Raw genomic sequence first — 13,292 nt, 5'->3', positions numbered from 1 at the left:
TGATATCACGTTTATGTGGCTCATGTGAAAACCCAGAAAATCAAACGGAATGGAGCAGGTACTTACCTTATTTCTATTTTTTAAAATATTTTTTCTTATTTGCAAAAAAAAAAAAAGATAAATCTATGGAGATGTAGGATGTAGGACTTACAGATAACAGTACTGATAATATTAACTTCAGCCTGATATATTTTGTTATTTTCCAGAGAAGAAAAAAAATTATTTACCTTTGGGTGGAGATGGGAGAAAGGGCTTTGCTTTCCTACCAAGTGAAAATATTTACCTGATTAATCTGTTCTCCTTCCTTAGATCCAAATACATATATATATATATAATTTTTTTTTTGAGAGTCTTGCTCTGTTGTCCAGGCTGGAGTGCAGTGGTATGAACTCAGCTAACTGCAACCTCTGCCTCCCAGGTTCAACTGATTCTCCTGCCTCAGCCTCTCCAGGCTAGACTACAGGCACGCACCACCACACACAGCTAATTTTTATATTTTTAGTAGAGACGAGGCTTCACCATGTTGGCCAGGCTGGTCTCGAACTCCTAACCTCAGGTGATCCGCTCCCCTTGGCCTCCCATAGTGCTGGCATTACAGGCATGAGCCACTGCGCCCGGCCTAATAATATTTGAGTTCAAAATGTATTTGGGCCAGGTGCAGTGGCTCACGCCTGTAACACCAGCACTTTGGGAGGTCGAGGCAGGCAGATCACCTGATGTCAGGAGTCCAAGACAGGCCTGGCCAACATGGTGAAACCCTGTCTGTACTAAAAATACAAAAAAAAAAAAAAAAAATTAGCTGGGCATGACTGGGGTGGTGGTGGGCGCCTATAATCCCAGCTACTCAGGAGGCTGAGGCAGGAGAATTGCTTGAACCTGGGAGGTGGAGGTTGCAGTGAGCGAAGATGGCGCCACTGCACTCCAGCCTGAGTGACAGAGTGAGACTCCATTTTTAAAAAAAAATTTTTAAAAATCAAGTATTATTAGTTACATAGCCAAGTTGCATATTTGGGGCTTTTTTCACATTGAAATGAAAACTTGGTCCTTCACTGAAAATAGTAATTTTCAACCCATCATGTGGGTCCAGTCAGTCTCTCTGGGGCCTAAAAGTGTAAAGCCAGAGGCTGAGGACATGCAAAAGTGCAGTTCAAGGAAACTGCTCTTGAAGGTAAATTCTGGAAGGAATTCCTGGCAGGAATTGTAGGACCCGAGGGCATAGTGATTGTGTCCTTCCTGCTCACCTCTAGTTCTCATGGCCCACATTCTTTGGGAGGGCCAGAGACTGTCTTAGTTGACTTGTAGAAATGCCTGCTGGAGTCCTCACTGATGTCTGGGCCTGGTGCCCTGGGGTAAGCCAGAGCAGCTGGGTCTCTCCTGTAGCATAGCATCTGACTTCAAGTCCCCTGTGAGTTTTGTTTAGAGGAGGGGCTGCATAGCATGTGCCTGGAATTGAAAATCAGAATTCTTGTTTTAATAATAATAATGATATATGGCATTTACTACATGTCTACTTAGGCATTGTTAGTTCATTTCTTCCTACCAGAACCCTGTGTGATAAGCATTATTTCCCCCATCTTATAGTGTAGGAGTCCAGGTCTGGGTGAGATCATGGGTTTCGTTTCTAGGAGGCATCAGATCCTACACTGGAGCCCAGGCATGGTAGCTCTCAGCCTGTGGTCATTACAGGACCGCCCAGCCCACAGGAACTTATTTCTTCCAAATATTCTTAATGAATAGCAAGCATTAACCTTAGAATCTTTTTTTTTTTTTTGAGACTGAGTTTCACTCTTGTTGCCCAGGCTGGAAAGCAGTGGTGCGATCTTGGCTCACTGCAACCTCCACCTCCTGGGTTCAAGTGATACTACTGCCTCAGCCTCCTGAGTAGCTGGGATTACAGGTGTGCGCTACCATGCCCAGCTAATTTTGTATTTTTAGTAGAGACAGGGTTTCACCGTGTTGGTCAGGCTGGACTTGAACTCCCGACCTCGACTGATCCACCTGCCTTGACCTCCCAAAATGTTGGGATTACAGGCGTGAGCCACTGCACCTGGCCTAGAATGTTCTTTTTTTCCTTTTCTTTTTTTTTTTTGAGACAGAGTCTCGCTCTGTCACCCAGGCTGGAGTGCAATAGCACGATCTCAGCTCACTGCAGCCACCGCCTCCCGGGTTCAAGCGATTCTTCTGCCTCAGCCTCCCGAGTAGCTGGGATTACAGGCATGCACCGCCCCACCCGTCTAATTTTGTTTTTTTAGTAGAGATGGGGTTTCTCCCTGTTGGTCAGGCTGGTCTTGAACTTTCGACCTCAGGAGCCACCGCCAGCCTAGAATCTTTAAAACGGTGAGTGATGTAAAACAAAAAGCACTTAGACTATGTCTATGGTTATAAAATCATTTAAAAAACACCAAACTAGGCCGGGCATGGTGGCTCACACCTGTAATCCCAGCACTTTGGGAGGCTAAGGCAGGCGGGTCACTTGAGGCCAGGAGTTCCAGACCAGCTTGGCCAACATGGTGAAAACCTGTCTCTATTAAAAATACGAAAATTAGGCCAGGTGCTGTGGCTCACGCCTGTAATCCCAGCACTTTGGGAGGCCAAGGCGGGCAGATCACCTGAGGTCAGGAGTTCGAGACCAGCCTGGCCAACATGGTGAAACCCCCTCTCTACTAAAAATACAAAAAATTAGCCAGGCATGGTGGCAGGTGCCTGTAATCCCAGCTACTCAGGAGGCTGAGACAGAAGAATCGCTTGAACCTGGGAGGCGGAGGTTACAGTCAGCCAAGATCATGTCATTGCACTCCCAACTGGGCAACAAGAGCAAAACTCCGACTCAAAAAAACAAAACAAAACAAATACAAAAATTAGCTGGGCATGGTGGCGTGGCGGGTGCCTGTAATTCCAGCTACTAGGGAGGCCAAGAATTGCTTGAACTGGGGAGGCAGAGGTTGCAGTGAGCTGAGATCTCACCAGCCTGGGCAACAGAGTAAGACTGTTTCAAAAAAAAGTCACCATTATTAGACTATTACTGTATAACTGTATAACTGGAGAGTGTATTTGGTTAGCACAAAACTGATAAGGAGGCTGGTGTGGTAACCCAGAGGTGAAGTGACTTTCATCTGAACTAAGATATTGTACAGGGTGGTCTTCTTCAAGGAGGGTACTTGTGTAATGTCCACAGCACATACCATTATAAGGAATGTTTTATTTCAGTATGGCTTTCCCACCAGACTGCAAACTTGCTAGTACATAGGATTTGCCCAGTACCTTGAAAATCCTTTGAAAACTCTTTCATTTCTCTGCAGAAGTTTTTTTTCCTAGCATGTATTTCTTTCCTAAATGTTGTAAAACTGTATTGGCCAGGCGCGGTGGCTCACACCTGTAATCCCAGCACTTTGGGAGGCCGAGGCGGGTGAATCACGAGGTCAGGAGTTCGAGACCAGTCTGGCCAACATGGTGAAACCCCGTCTCTACTAAAAACACAAAAATTAGCCAGGCATGGTGGCGGGCATCTGTAATCCCAGCTACTCAGGAGGCCGCGGCAGGAGAATCACTTGAACCCTGGAGGCAGAGGTTGCCGTGAGCTGAGATCGTGCCACCGCGCTCCAGCCTTGGTGACAGAGCAAAACTCCATCTCAAAAAAAAAAAAAAAAAGAAGAAAAAAAAACCATAAAACTGTATTTATCTTGTTCACAAAACTGATTTACAAAGAATCTGTCAATATGCTAATATACTGTGGCAGGTCATTGGGTGAGTGGGCTTGCTAGAAGGTAGCTTTGTGTTGTTACTTTTTTTTTTAATCCAGTGATATTTTGTCAAAACTTTTTTTATTTATTTTTATTATTTTTTTTTTAAGAGACAAGGTCTCGCTCTGTTGCCTAGGCTGGAGTGCTGTCATAGCTCAGTGTAGCTATGTCATTTGTGCTGTCATAGCTCAGTGTAGCCTCAAACTCCTAGGCTTGTGTAGTTAGTTTGGATGGGGGTTCTTTCAGCAAGGATCTTTGGCTCACAATCATTTCTTTTGTATCAAGCAATAGAAGATAAATGAAAACAGCGTTTTCCCTCTCAGGATCAGACTCACATAAATATGTTAAATAAGCTTTAGAAAAATCTAAGATAAGATGCTACAGAGTCTGCCCCTAAACTTCTCTTTGATATTTGTCAGAATAAAAGTGCAAAAAGAGTTTAAAATGGTCCTCATAAGTAAATAATAGATATGCTGAGTGTGTGGTAGGGGGTGCAAACAGGTAATATTTATTGAATATTTACAGGCCAGGCACTGTTCTAAGTATTTTTTACATACTAACTCACTCCCTAGGACAGCACTGTGGGCCGGGTGCGGTGGCTTACGCCTGTAATCCCAGCACTTTGGGAGGCCGAGGCTCGCGGATCACTTGCGGTCAGAAGTTCAAGATCAGTCTGGCTAACATGGTGAAACCCCGTTTCTACTGAAAATACAAAAATTAGCTGGACATGATGGCACATGCCAGTAATCCCAGCTGCTCAGGAGGCTGAGGCAGGATAATCACTTGAACCCAGGAGGCAGAGGTTGCAGTGAGCTGAGATTGCACCTTTGCACTCCAGCCTGGGCAGCAGAGCAAGACTCCATCTCAAAAAAAAAAAAAAAAAAAAAAAAAAAGAACAGCATTAAGAAAGAACAGCATTGTGAGAAAGGTACTGTTATCCCCATTTTTTAGATGGGGACATGGAAGAGCAGAGATACTAGGTAACTTGTCCTGGATTTTCATCCAGGTAGTCTGGATCATGGGCATACTCTTAATCATTCTTTAGTTCTGCTGTTGCTGTACCAGGTGACCAGAATGGGCTCCTAGGATTCCCACCATGTGGGTCCTGAAGAACTGGTCTAATGGAAACTTTTTGTTTCTTTTTTGTGTCTTAAATGCAAACTTCTAAAAATGGCATCACTTTTTACTTGCACTGGGTACCTAAAGGAAGTAATTGTCAATAATTCTGTAAAGCAAAAAATCATTCCTAAGTTTTTAAGAAAGTCCAGGTTTTTATATAGTTGTATTATGGGCCATTATTAACTCTTAGATGTGTAGATTTTTTTTCCATTTTCCCCAAAATTTAGGAGTATTTTGTTTTTATCCTTTAACTTCCTTTGCTGCTAAGAATAAATAGTTTTGTGTGTGGGTATGCCCTTGTGGGTGTCAGTGCTGAGCTCTAACATGTTGTCTGAAAAAACTGCTTTTCTACGTTCCTACATAGAACACTTCTTACTAAACTAGATGTGTGGAGTTTTCCCTACAACAGTTTAATTCAGTTCTTCAGCAGAAACCATCTGGGTGTCCTTCAACATAATCCAATTATAGCACCATCTATCCTCAGATAGTCTTAGATCCCACAAATGAAAGGGCTCTAGTCTTAGATCCCACAAATTAAAGGGCTCAATCCCACAAGACTCTCCCTATTTCAGATGTCAATTGAAAGACCATGCTTCCCATACTTCTGTATTTTTTTTTTGAAATGGAGTCTCGCTCTGTCACCCAGGCTGGAGTGCAGTGGCGCTATCTCAGCTCACTGCAAGCTCCGCCTCCCGGGTTTCAGGCCATTCTCCTGCCTCAGCCTCCTGAGTAGCTGAGACTACAGGCGCCCGCCACCACGCCTGGCTAATTTTTTTCGTATTTTTAGTAGGGACGGGGTTTCACTGTGTTAGCCAGGATGGTCTCAATCTCCTGGCCTTGTGATCCGCCCGCCTCATCCTCCCAAAGTGCTGGGATTACAGGCTTGAGCCACCGTGCCTGGCCACTATGCTTCCCGTACTTCTGACCTACCAGCTATATACTAGGGTTTCTATGACCTTTTTTTTTTTTTTTTTTTGAGACAGAGTCTCTCTCCGTCGCCCAGTCTGGAGTCTGGAGTGCAGTGGCACGATCTCAGCTCACTGCAACCTCCACCTTCCGGGACCAAGTGATTCTCCTGTGTCAGCCTCCCAAATAGCTGGGATTACAAATGTGCACCACCACACCAGCTAGTTTTTGTATTTTTAGTGGAGACAGGGTTTCGCCATCTTGGCCATGCTGCTCTCGAACTCCTGACCTCAAGTGATCCACCTGCCTCAGCCTCCCAAAGTGTTGGGATTACAAGTGTGAGCCACCACACCTGGCCCCTCTCTTCTTGAGTTCTGTAATTTGCTAGAATGGTTCACAAAACTCAGGGAAACACTTTTATGTTTTATGGTTTGTTGTAAAGGAGATAGATGAACAGCCAGATGAAGAGGTACATTGCGTGAGGTCCAGCAGGGTCCCAAGTACAGGAGCTTCTGTCCACGTGGAGTTGGGGTGCACCACCCTCCTGGCAACCCAGAAGTTCATCAGAACTCATTGTTCAATAGATTTTTTTTTTTTTTGAAATGGAGTCTCGCTCTGTCACCAGGCTGGAGTGCAGTGGTGTGATCTCGGCTCACTGCAAACTCTGCCCCCCGGGTTCAAGCAATTCTACCACCTCAAACTCTCAAGTGACTGGGACTACAGGCGTGTCCTGCCACCATGCATTTTTTTTTTTTTTTTTTTTTTTTCCAAGACGGAGTTTCGCTCTTGTTGCCCAGGCTGGAGTGCAGTGCCACGATCTTGGCTCACCGCAACCTCCACCTCCCGGGTTCAAGTGATTCTCCTGCCTCAGCCTCCCAAGTAGCTAGGATTACAGGCATATGCCAGCACGCCCAGCTAATTTTGTATTTTTAGTAGAGATGGGGTTTCTTCATGTTGGTCAGGCTGGTCTCGAACTCGCAACCTCAGGTGATCTACCCACCTTGGCCTCCCAAAGTGTTGGGATTACAGGCGTGAGCCACCGCGCCTGGCCTAAAAGACACTTCTATCAGGAAATTCCAAGGGTTTTAGGAACTCTATACAAAAACCAAATATACCTGTTGGGATTCAGAACACCATACTCCAAAGTGCAGGGCTTTGGCATGCTGAGTACTCCAAACTAAAGAAGATTGGGAGGGGCTCAGAAGCAAAGTCTCTCTGCCTTCCGGCCCTCCTGTTTCTTGTCCTTCTTTCTCCCCTGGCCAGTCATAGAAACCAGAACTCTTCTTCCCAAAGGCAGGCCATAGAAACTAGACTCCTCTCTCCCAAAGCAGGCCATAAAATCTAGAAAGGTCACTTTCGGCTGGGTGCAATGGCTCACGCCTGTAATCCTAGCACTTTGGGAGGCCGAGGCGGGCCGATCACGAGGTCAGGAGATCAAGACTATCCTGGCTAACACGGTGAAACCCTGTCTCTACTAAAAATATTTTAAAAATTAGCCGGGCGTGGTGGCGGGCGCCTGTAGTCCCAGCTACTCGGGAGGCTGAGGCAGGAGAATGGCGTGAAACCTGGGAGGTGGAGCTTGCAGTGAGCCGAGATAGCGCCACTGCACTCCAGCCTGGGCGACAGAGTGAGACTCCGTCTCCAAAAAAAAAGAGAACCCTTTCTCCCTTTACCCTTTTCCCTTGAAGACCCTTATTTCAGAGGGGTCCTGCCCTATATGGCAGGAGGGTTGGGGGTGAGGAGTCTACACAGAGAGGCCGAGAAGAACCTGAATAGACAGGTCTTGCTGGGTTTGCCCCTTCAGTCTATTCCCAGTAGATCATACTTTGTCCACTCACATTTCTACATGGCTGTCCATTCTTCATCAAACCTAAGCATAAGAATAGTTTTCTCTGGGTCTTTCATTTCTTTTCCTTTTTTTTTTTTTTTTTTTTTTTTTTGCAGTAGGGTCTTGCTCTGTTGCCCAGGCTGGAGTGCAGTGACACGACCTCAGCTCACTGCAGCCTCAACCTCCCAGGCTCAAGCAATCCTCCCACCTTAGCCTCCCAGGTAGCTGGAACTACAGATGTGTGCCACCATGCCTGGCTAATTTTTTATATTTTTTTATAGAGATGGGGTCTTGCTATGTTGCCTAAGCTGGTCTCGACCACCTGGGCTCAAGCAATCCTCTTGTCTTGACTTCCCAAAATGCTGACATTACAGGTGTGAGCCACTGCACCTGGCCTGGGTCTTCATTTCTGAAGGCTCTGATCACTCAGGAAATTACAAGTGTTTTAGGAGCTCTGTGTAAGGAACCAGACAAAGACCAACTATCTATTGGACAAAGACCATATATGTATTTCTCATCACATGCTGTGTTTTATGTTTCTCCTCCTCAGGCAACACAGTGCTTCTCCTCATACTGTGCATGCAGCACTCCTTCCCAGAGCCTGGCAGATTGTATCTTGACCTCATTCTGGCCATCTTGGCACTGGAACTCATCTGTTCCCTGATATGTCTCCTCATTTACACAGGTGAGAATTACAACGAGCCTGTTCTTATAGGAACTTCGAACTGCTTCCTTTCCTCCCAGTTTAAAGTATAGCCCATTAGCGACAAGGAAGTTCTCTGTGTATCTGAGTGGTGACCACATGCAGACTTCTTTAATTTCAAACCAACAGGAAGGTACAGCCACCACCAGTGAGACCCCATTCTTTTAAGATTGTGTCATTAATAAATTTTTGTTAATGCAAGTGAAACTTTTCCATTAAAACAAGACACAAACTTTTTGGGCTGGGAATGGTGGCTCAAGCCTGTAATCCCAGCTCTTTGGGAGGATGAGGCAGAAGGATCACTTGAGCTCTGGAATTCAAGACCAGCCTGGACAACATGATGAAACTCCATCTCTACAAAAAATACAAAAAATTAGCCAGGTATGGTGGTGCACAAATGTGGTCCCAGCCCCTCAGGAGGCTGACGTGGGAGGATCACTAGAGCCTGGGAGACAGAGGTTGCAGTGAGCCAAGATCACATGCCTGCACTCCAGCCTGGGTGACAGAGTAAGACCCTGTCTCCTAAAACAACAACAACAAAAACATCCACAAACTTTTGCTTCTCTGAAGGCAGCTGAAATGTCAGCTTGCATTTAAAATTAAAAATTAAGAAATAGGCCAGGCACAGTGGCTCATGTCTGTAATCCTAGCACTTTAGGAGGCTAGCACTTTAATAGAGATGGGGTTTCGTCATGTTGGCCAGGATGGTCTCTAACTCCTGACCTCAGGTGATCCGCCCGCCTTGGCCTCCCAAAGTGCTGGGATTACAGGCATGACCCACCGCACCCAGCCCCAAATTGTATATATTCATCTGCTTAATGAAGTTTTCATCCACATGTCCCACAGGCACCAACAAGATCAGAAGTGAACAGAACATAATTTTCTTCAAAATTTCCCTCCATCCTAACCGTCCTCTTCTAGCTCAGTTAACAATACCAGCCTGCATCCACTTGATAAATCAGAATCCTAGAAACGTAGGAGTCATCTACCTTCTTCCTTCTACCTCACTCCCCAAGAACTGGATAGGATTGGTGATCAGTCAGTCATCAGTCTTATTCAGTCTACCTGTCTTTCAGCTCTGTCTCTTTTCTTTGGTCCCTGCCACTGCCTTGGTTAGGTACTCATCATCTCTTGCATGGCTACATCCAGGAGACACATAACAGGTCTCTTTCCCTCTGTCCACTGATTCATATTTCTTATTCCTGCCAACATGATCTTGTTTATACTTAACTCTGATTGTTAACAGCTTCCCTGCCCAGAGTTTTCTAATAGCTGAAGGAAAAAAAATCTAACGTTTTCATGTGGCATAAAAGGCATTTTCTTTATTTTTTTTTTGAGTTGGAGTTTCACTCTCGTCACCCAGGCTGGAGTGCAATGGCGTGATCTCAGCTTACTGCAACCTCCGCCTCCTGGGTTTAAGCGATTCTCCTGCCTCAGCCTCCTGAGTGGCTGGGATTATAGGCGCCTACCACCACACCCAGCTAATTTTTGTGTTTTTAGTAAAGACAGCATCTCATCATGTTCGCCAGGCTGGTCTCAAACTCCGGATGTCAGGTCATCTATCCGCCTCGGCCTCCCAAAGTGCTGGGATTACAGACATGAGCCACCATGCCCAGCCTGAAAGGTTCTCCTTGAATGGCCTCTACCTAGCCTGCTCTTCAGGGATGATGGTGAGATCCTTTCAAAGACTGCCAGTTGCTCTGAGGATAAAATCTAAATGTCTTAGGCCGGGCCTGGTGACTCACGCCTGTAATCCCAGCACTTTGGGAGGCCTCAGCGGGTGGATCACTTGAGGCCAGGAGTTTGAGAACAGCCTGGCCAACATGGTGAAACACCGTCTCTACTGAAAATACAAAAAAAATTAGCTGGGTGTGGTGGTGCACGCCTGTAATCCCAGTCGGGAGGCTGAGGTGGGAGAATTGCTTGAACCTAGGAGGCAGAGACAGAGGTTGCAGTGAGCCAAGGTTGTGCCACTGCACTCCAGCCTGAGCGACAGAGCAAGACTCCGTCTCAAAAAAAAAAAAAAAAAAAGTGTAAATGCCTTGCATGACACACCAGCCACTCCTGATGCATTCTCTGCCTATCTTCCCAACCCACCCCTTGTCCATACACCCTCACACCCATACATACGTGTAGCTTCTCAAGACCATAGCATTTGTTCAGACTCCTCCTGCACCTGAAGCACCCTTCTTTATTCTCCTAGTCTGTGTGATTAATTCCTGGGCTCAAACTCTATCCTCTTTTCCCCTCTCTGATACCTCCTGTTGAGTTAGGCACTGCTTTCCAGGCCAAAAAGCAGCTTGACAACTCCTTGTGCAAGCCTCTTGCACAAGCTTCTATTGAAGGTACTTTCCATACTGTCTTAGAATGTAGGATTATTATCTGTATTTTCCCCTGGACCAGAGGAAGTCATGATTTCTGAATTAGATGGCTGGCTGGTTGCTCAACTTCTCTGGGCTTCACTGCGGGGTAATAGGAGCATCCACTTCATGCAGGTGTTTATGAGAACTGAATGAGGGCATCCATGTAAAACATTTAAACTGTGCCTCATGTGTTCTAAGTGCACAATAAATGTCAGCTATTATTGCTATTTCAATACTAATGTAATCCCTATATTCCCAGGGCTTAGAACAGGCCTGGCACATAGTAGAATTTGAAATACTCAAGGACGTTAATAAGAACGGCAAATTAGCATAATTTGAAAAAATGAAACTAGACTTGTCTTTCAGAATTCGATCTAATAATGACTTTATTATTTTAGTGAAAATCCGGAGATTTAATAAAGCTAAACCAGAGCCTGATATACTTGAAGAAGAAAAAATCTATGCTTACCCCAGCAATATTACCTCGGAGACTGGATTCAGGTAAGATTTAGGTGAGAATAAAATAATTGAGTTTTTTCCCCTAGAAAGCTAGAAACCATTCTGATGCTTGGAATTTATGATTGTGTATTTGTACTTTTACATTTGTTTGATTTGTTTATTTCCTTTCAGCTGTGGTGAAATCAAGTCTAAATCAGGATGTGTAAATGTATTAAATAGGCCATATATTTGATGCAAAAAATTAACCACTTAGCCAACCTATTTAACCTCTCAAGAGCTTTTGACATCATTAACTGGTTACTCCCTCCTTGAAGCACCTTTTTTTATAGGTGTCTTTTTTTTTTTTTTTTTTTTGAGATGGAGTTTTGCTCTTGTTGCCCAGGCTGGAGTGCAGTGGCATGATCTTGGCTCACCGTAGTCTCCACCTCCCAGTTTCAAGCGATTCTCCTGCCTCAGCCTCCCAGTAGCTGGGATTACAGGCATGCACCACCACGCTTGGCTAATTTTGTATTTTTAGTAGAGATGGGGTTTCTCCATGTTGGTCAGGCTGGTCTTGAACTCCTGACCTCAGGTGATCCGCCCGCCTCAGCCTCCCAAAGTGCTGGGATCACAGGCGTGAGCCACCTCGCCCGGCCTGTTATTTTCTTTTTAAGGGATAGAGTCTCTCTGTATTGCCCAGGCTGGCCTCAAACTCCTGGGCTCAAGCAATCCTCCCATTTCAGCCTCCCAAACAGCCAGCCCGGTCTGCCCACCCTTGTTTCTATCCAGTCTCTCCCTAAGTGACTTCCATGGTAATTAAAATATCATTCATATCTGTTGGAGATCTTGGGGCTAAAGTAGATGTAAAAAACTATACATGCCCAGCTAATTTTTGTATTTTTAGTAGCGACAAGGTTTCACCATGTTGGCCAGGCTGGTCTCAAACTCCTGACCTCAAGTGATCCATCCACCTCGGCCTCCCAAAGTGCTGGGATTACAGGCATGATTACACCACTCCTGGCCATGTCTGTGGTTCTTCTCATCCTGCTTTTGGATCTATATAATCTGGGACACGAGTTATTCCTTAACATCATCTGAAGTGGATAGCAACAGACATAAGAATATAGTCAGTATATATAAAGAAAGTGTGGGCCAGGTGGGGCAGCTCACGCCTGTAATCCCAGCACTTTCGGAGGCCGAGGTGGGTAGATCACCTGAGGTCAGGAGTTCAAGACCAGCCTGGCCAACATGATGAAACCCCATCTCTACTAAAAATACAAAAACTAGCCAGGCACAGTGGCGCATACCTGTAATCCCAGCTACTTGAGAGGCTGAGGCAGGAGAATCGCTTGAACCCGGGAGACAGAGGTTGCAGTGAGCCAAGATGGCGCCACTGTACTCCAGCCTGGGCAACAGAGCGAGACTCCATCTCAAACAAAAAAAAGAAAGTGTATTACTTAGGGGCTTAAGAAATGGACTCAGTGCCATTACTGATGTACTAGTTAAAAAAAGAAAAAGAAAAAAACATGACTGGGCGCGGTGGCTCATGCCTGTAATCCTAGCACTTTTAAGAGGCTGAGGTGGGCAGATCACGAGGTCAGGAGTTTGAGTCCAGCCTGACCAATATGGTGAAACCCCATCTCTACTAAATATACAAAAATTAGCTGGGCAAAGTGATGCACACCTGTAGTCCCAGCTACTCAGGAGGCTGAGGCAGGAGAATCGCTTGAACCTGTGAGGCGGAGGTTGCAGTGAGCTAAGATTGCGCCACTGCACTCCAGCCTGGATAACAGAGCAAGACTCTGTCTCGAAACAAAACAACAACAACAAAAAACTTTATAGATAAAGGAAAGAGATACTTTTAAAAACAGTTGTTGAAATAAATATAGTTTAATGTATTGGCTTTTAGTAAGGCCAATTTTTGAATTAGTGTCATTTTTAAATTAGCTTTTATAAACTGAACTGTTGTTAGGCACAGGTGTGAAGTGACAACACAGGTGTGACAGTGTTGAATCAGGATGCACATTGCTTTTTATTATAGTGTGGAATATAAATACTTAATGAATAAAAAGAAAAAAGAACAAAAAACAAAAACAAACACTTAATGAGCAGCAAGTCCAAGGTTGTTCTTCTTGGGATCGTTATCTCTGTCCCACAGTGTAAACTGATGATATCTTGATAGTTCTAGAATCCTT

The 13,292-nt window shown here is 45.1% G+C and overlaps 1 protein-coding gene across 2 annotated transcripts in view; it reads left to right on the top strand.

Moving 5' to 3' along the window:
• Positions 1 to 13,292, top strand: part of TMEM192 (transmembrane protein 192) — a 42,253-nt gene that overhangs the window by 16,115 nt on the left and 12,846 nt on the right. Inside the window, exons 4-5 of one of the 2 annotated variants that reach the window (NM_001100389.2) lie at positions 8,144 to 8,278; positions 11,058 to 11,160. In NM_001100389.2, the coding sequence (NP_001093859.1) occupies positions 8,144 to 8,278; positions 11,058 to 11,160 (238 nt within the window). The remainder of the gene's footprint in view (positions 1 to 8,143; positions 8,279 to 11,057; positions 11,161 to 13,292) is intronic. The other variant, XM_011531718.4, reaches the window with a different exon arrangement.

The sequence above is a fragment of the Homo sapiens genome, chromosome 4 (genome assembly GCF_000001405.40).
Source record: "Homo sapiens chromosome 4, GRCh38.p14 Primary Assembly".
Classification (NCBI taxonomy): Eukaryota; Metazoa; Chordata; class Mammalia; order Primates; family Hominidae; genus Homo; species Homo sapiens.
Note: the sequence above shows the minus strand (reverse complement) of the source record. Positions and strands in the feature narration are given on the sequence as shown.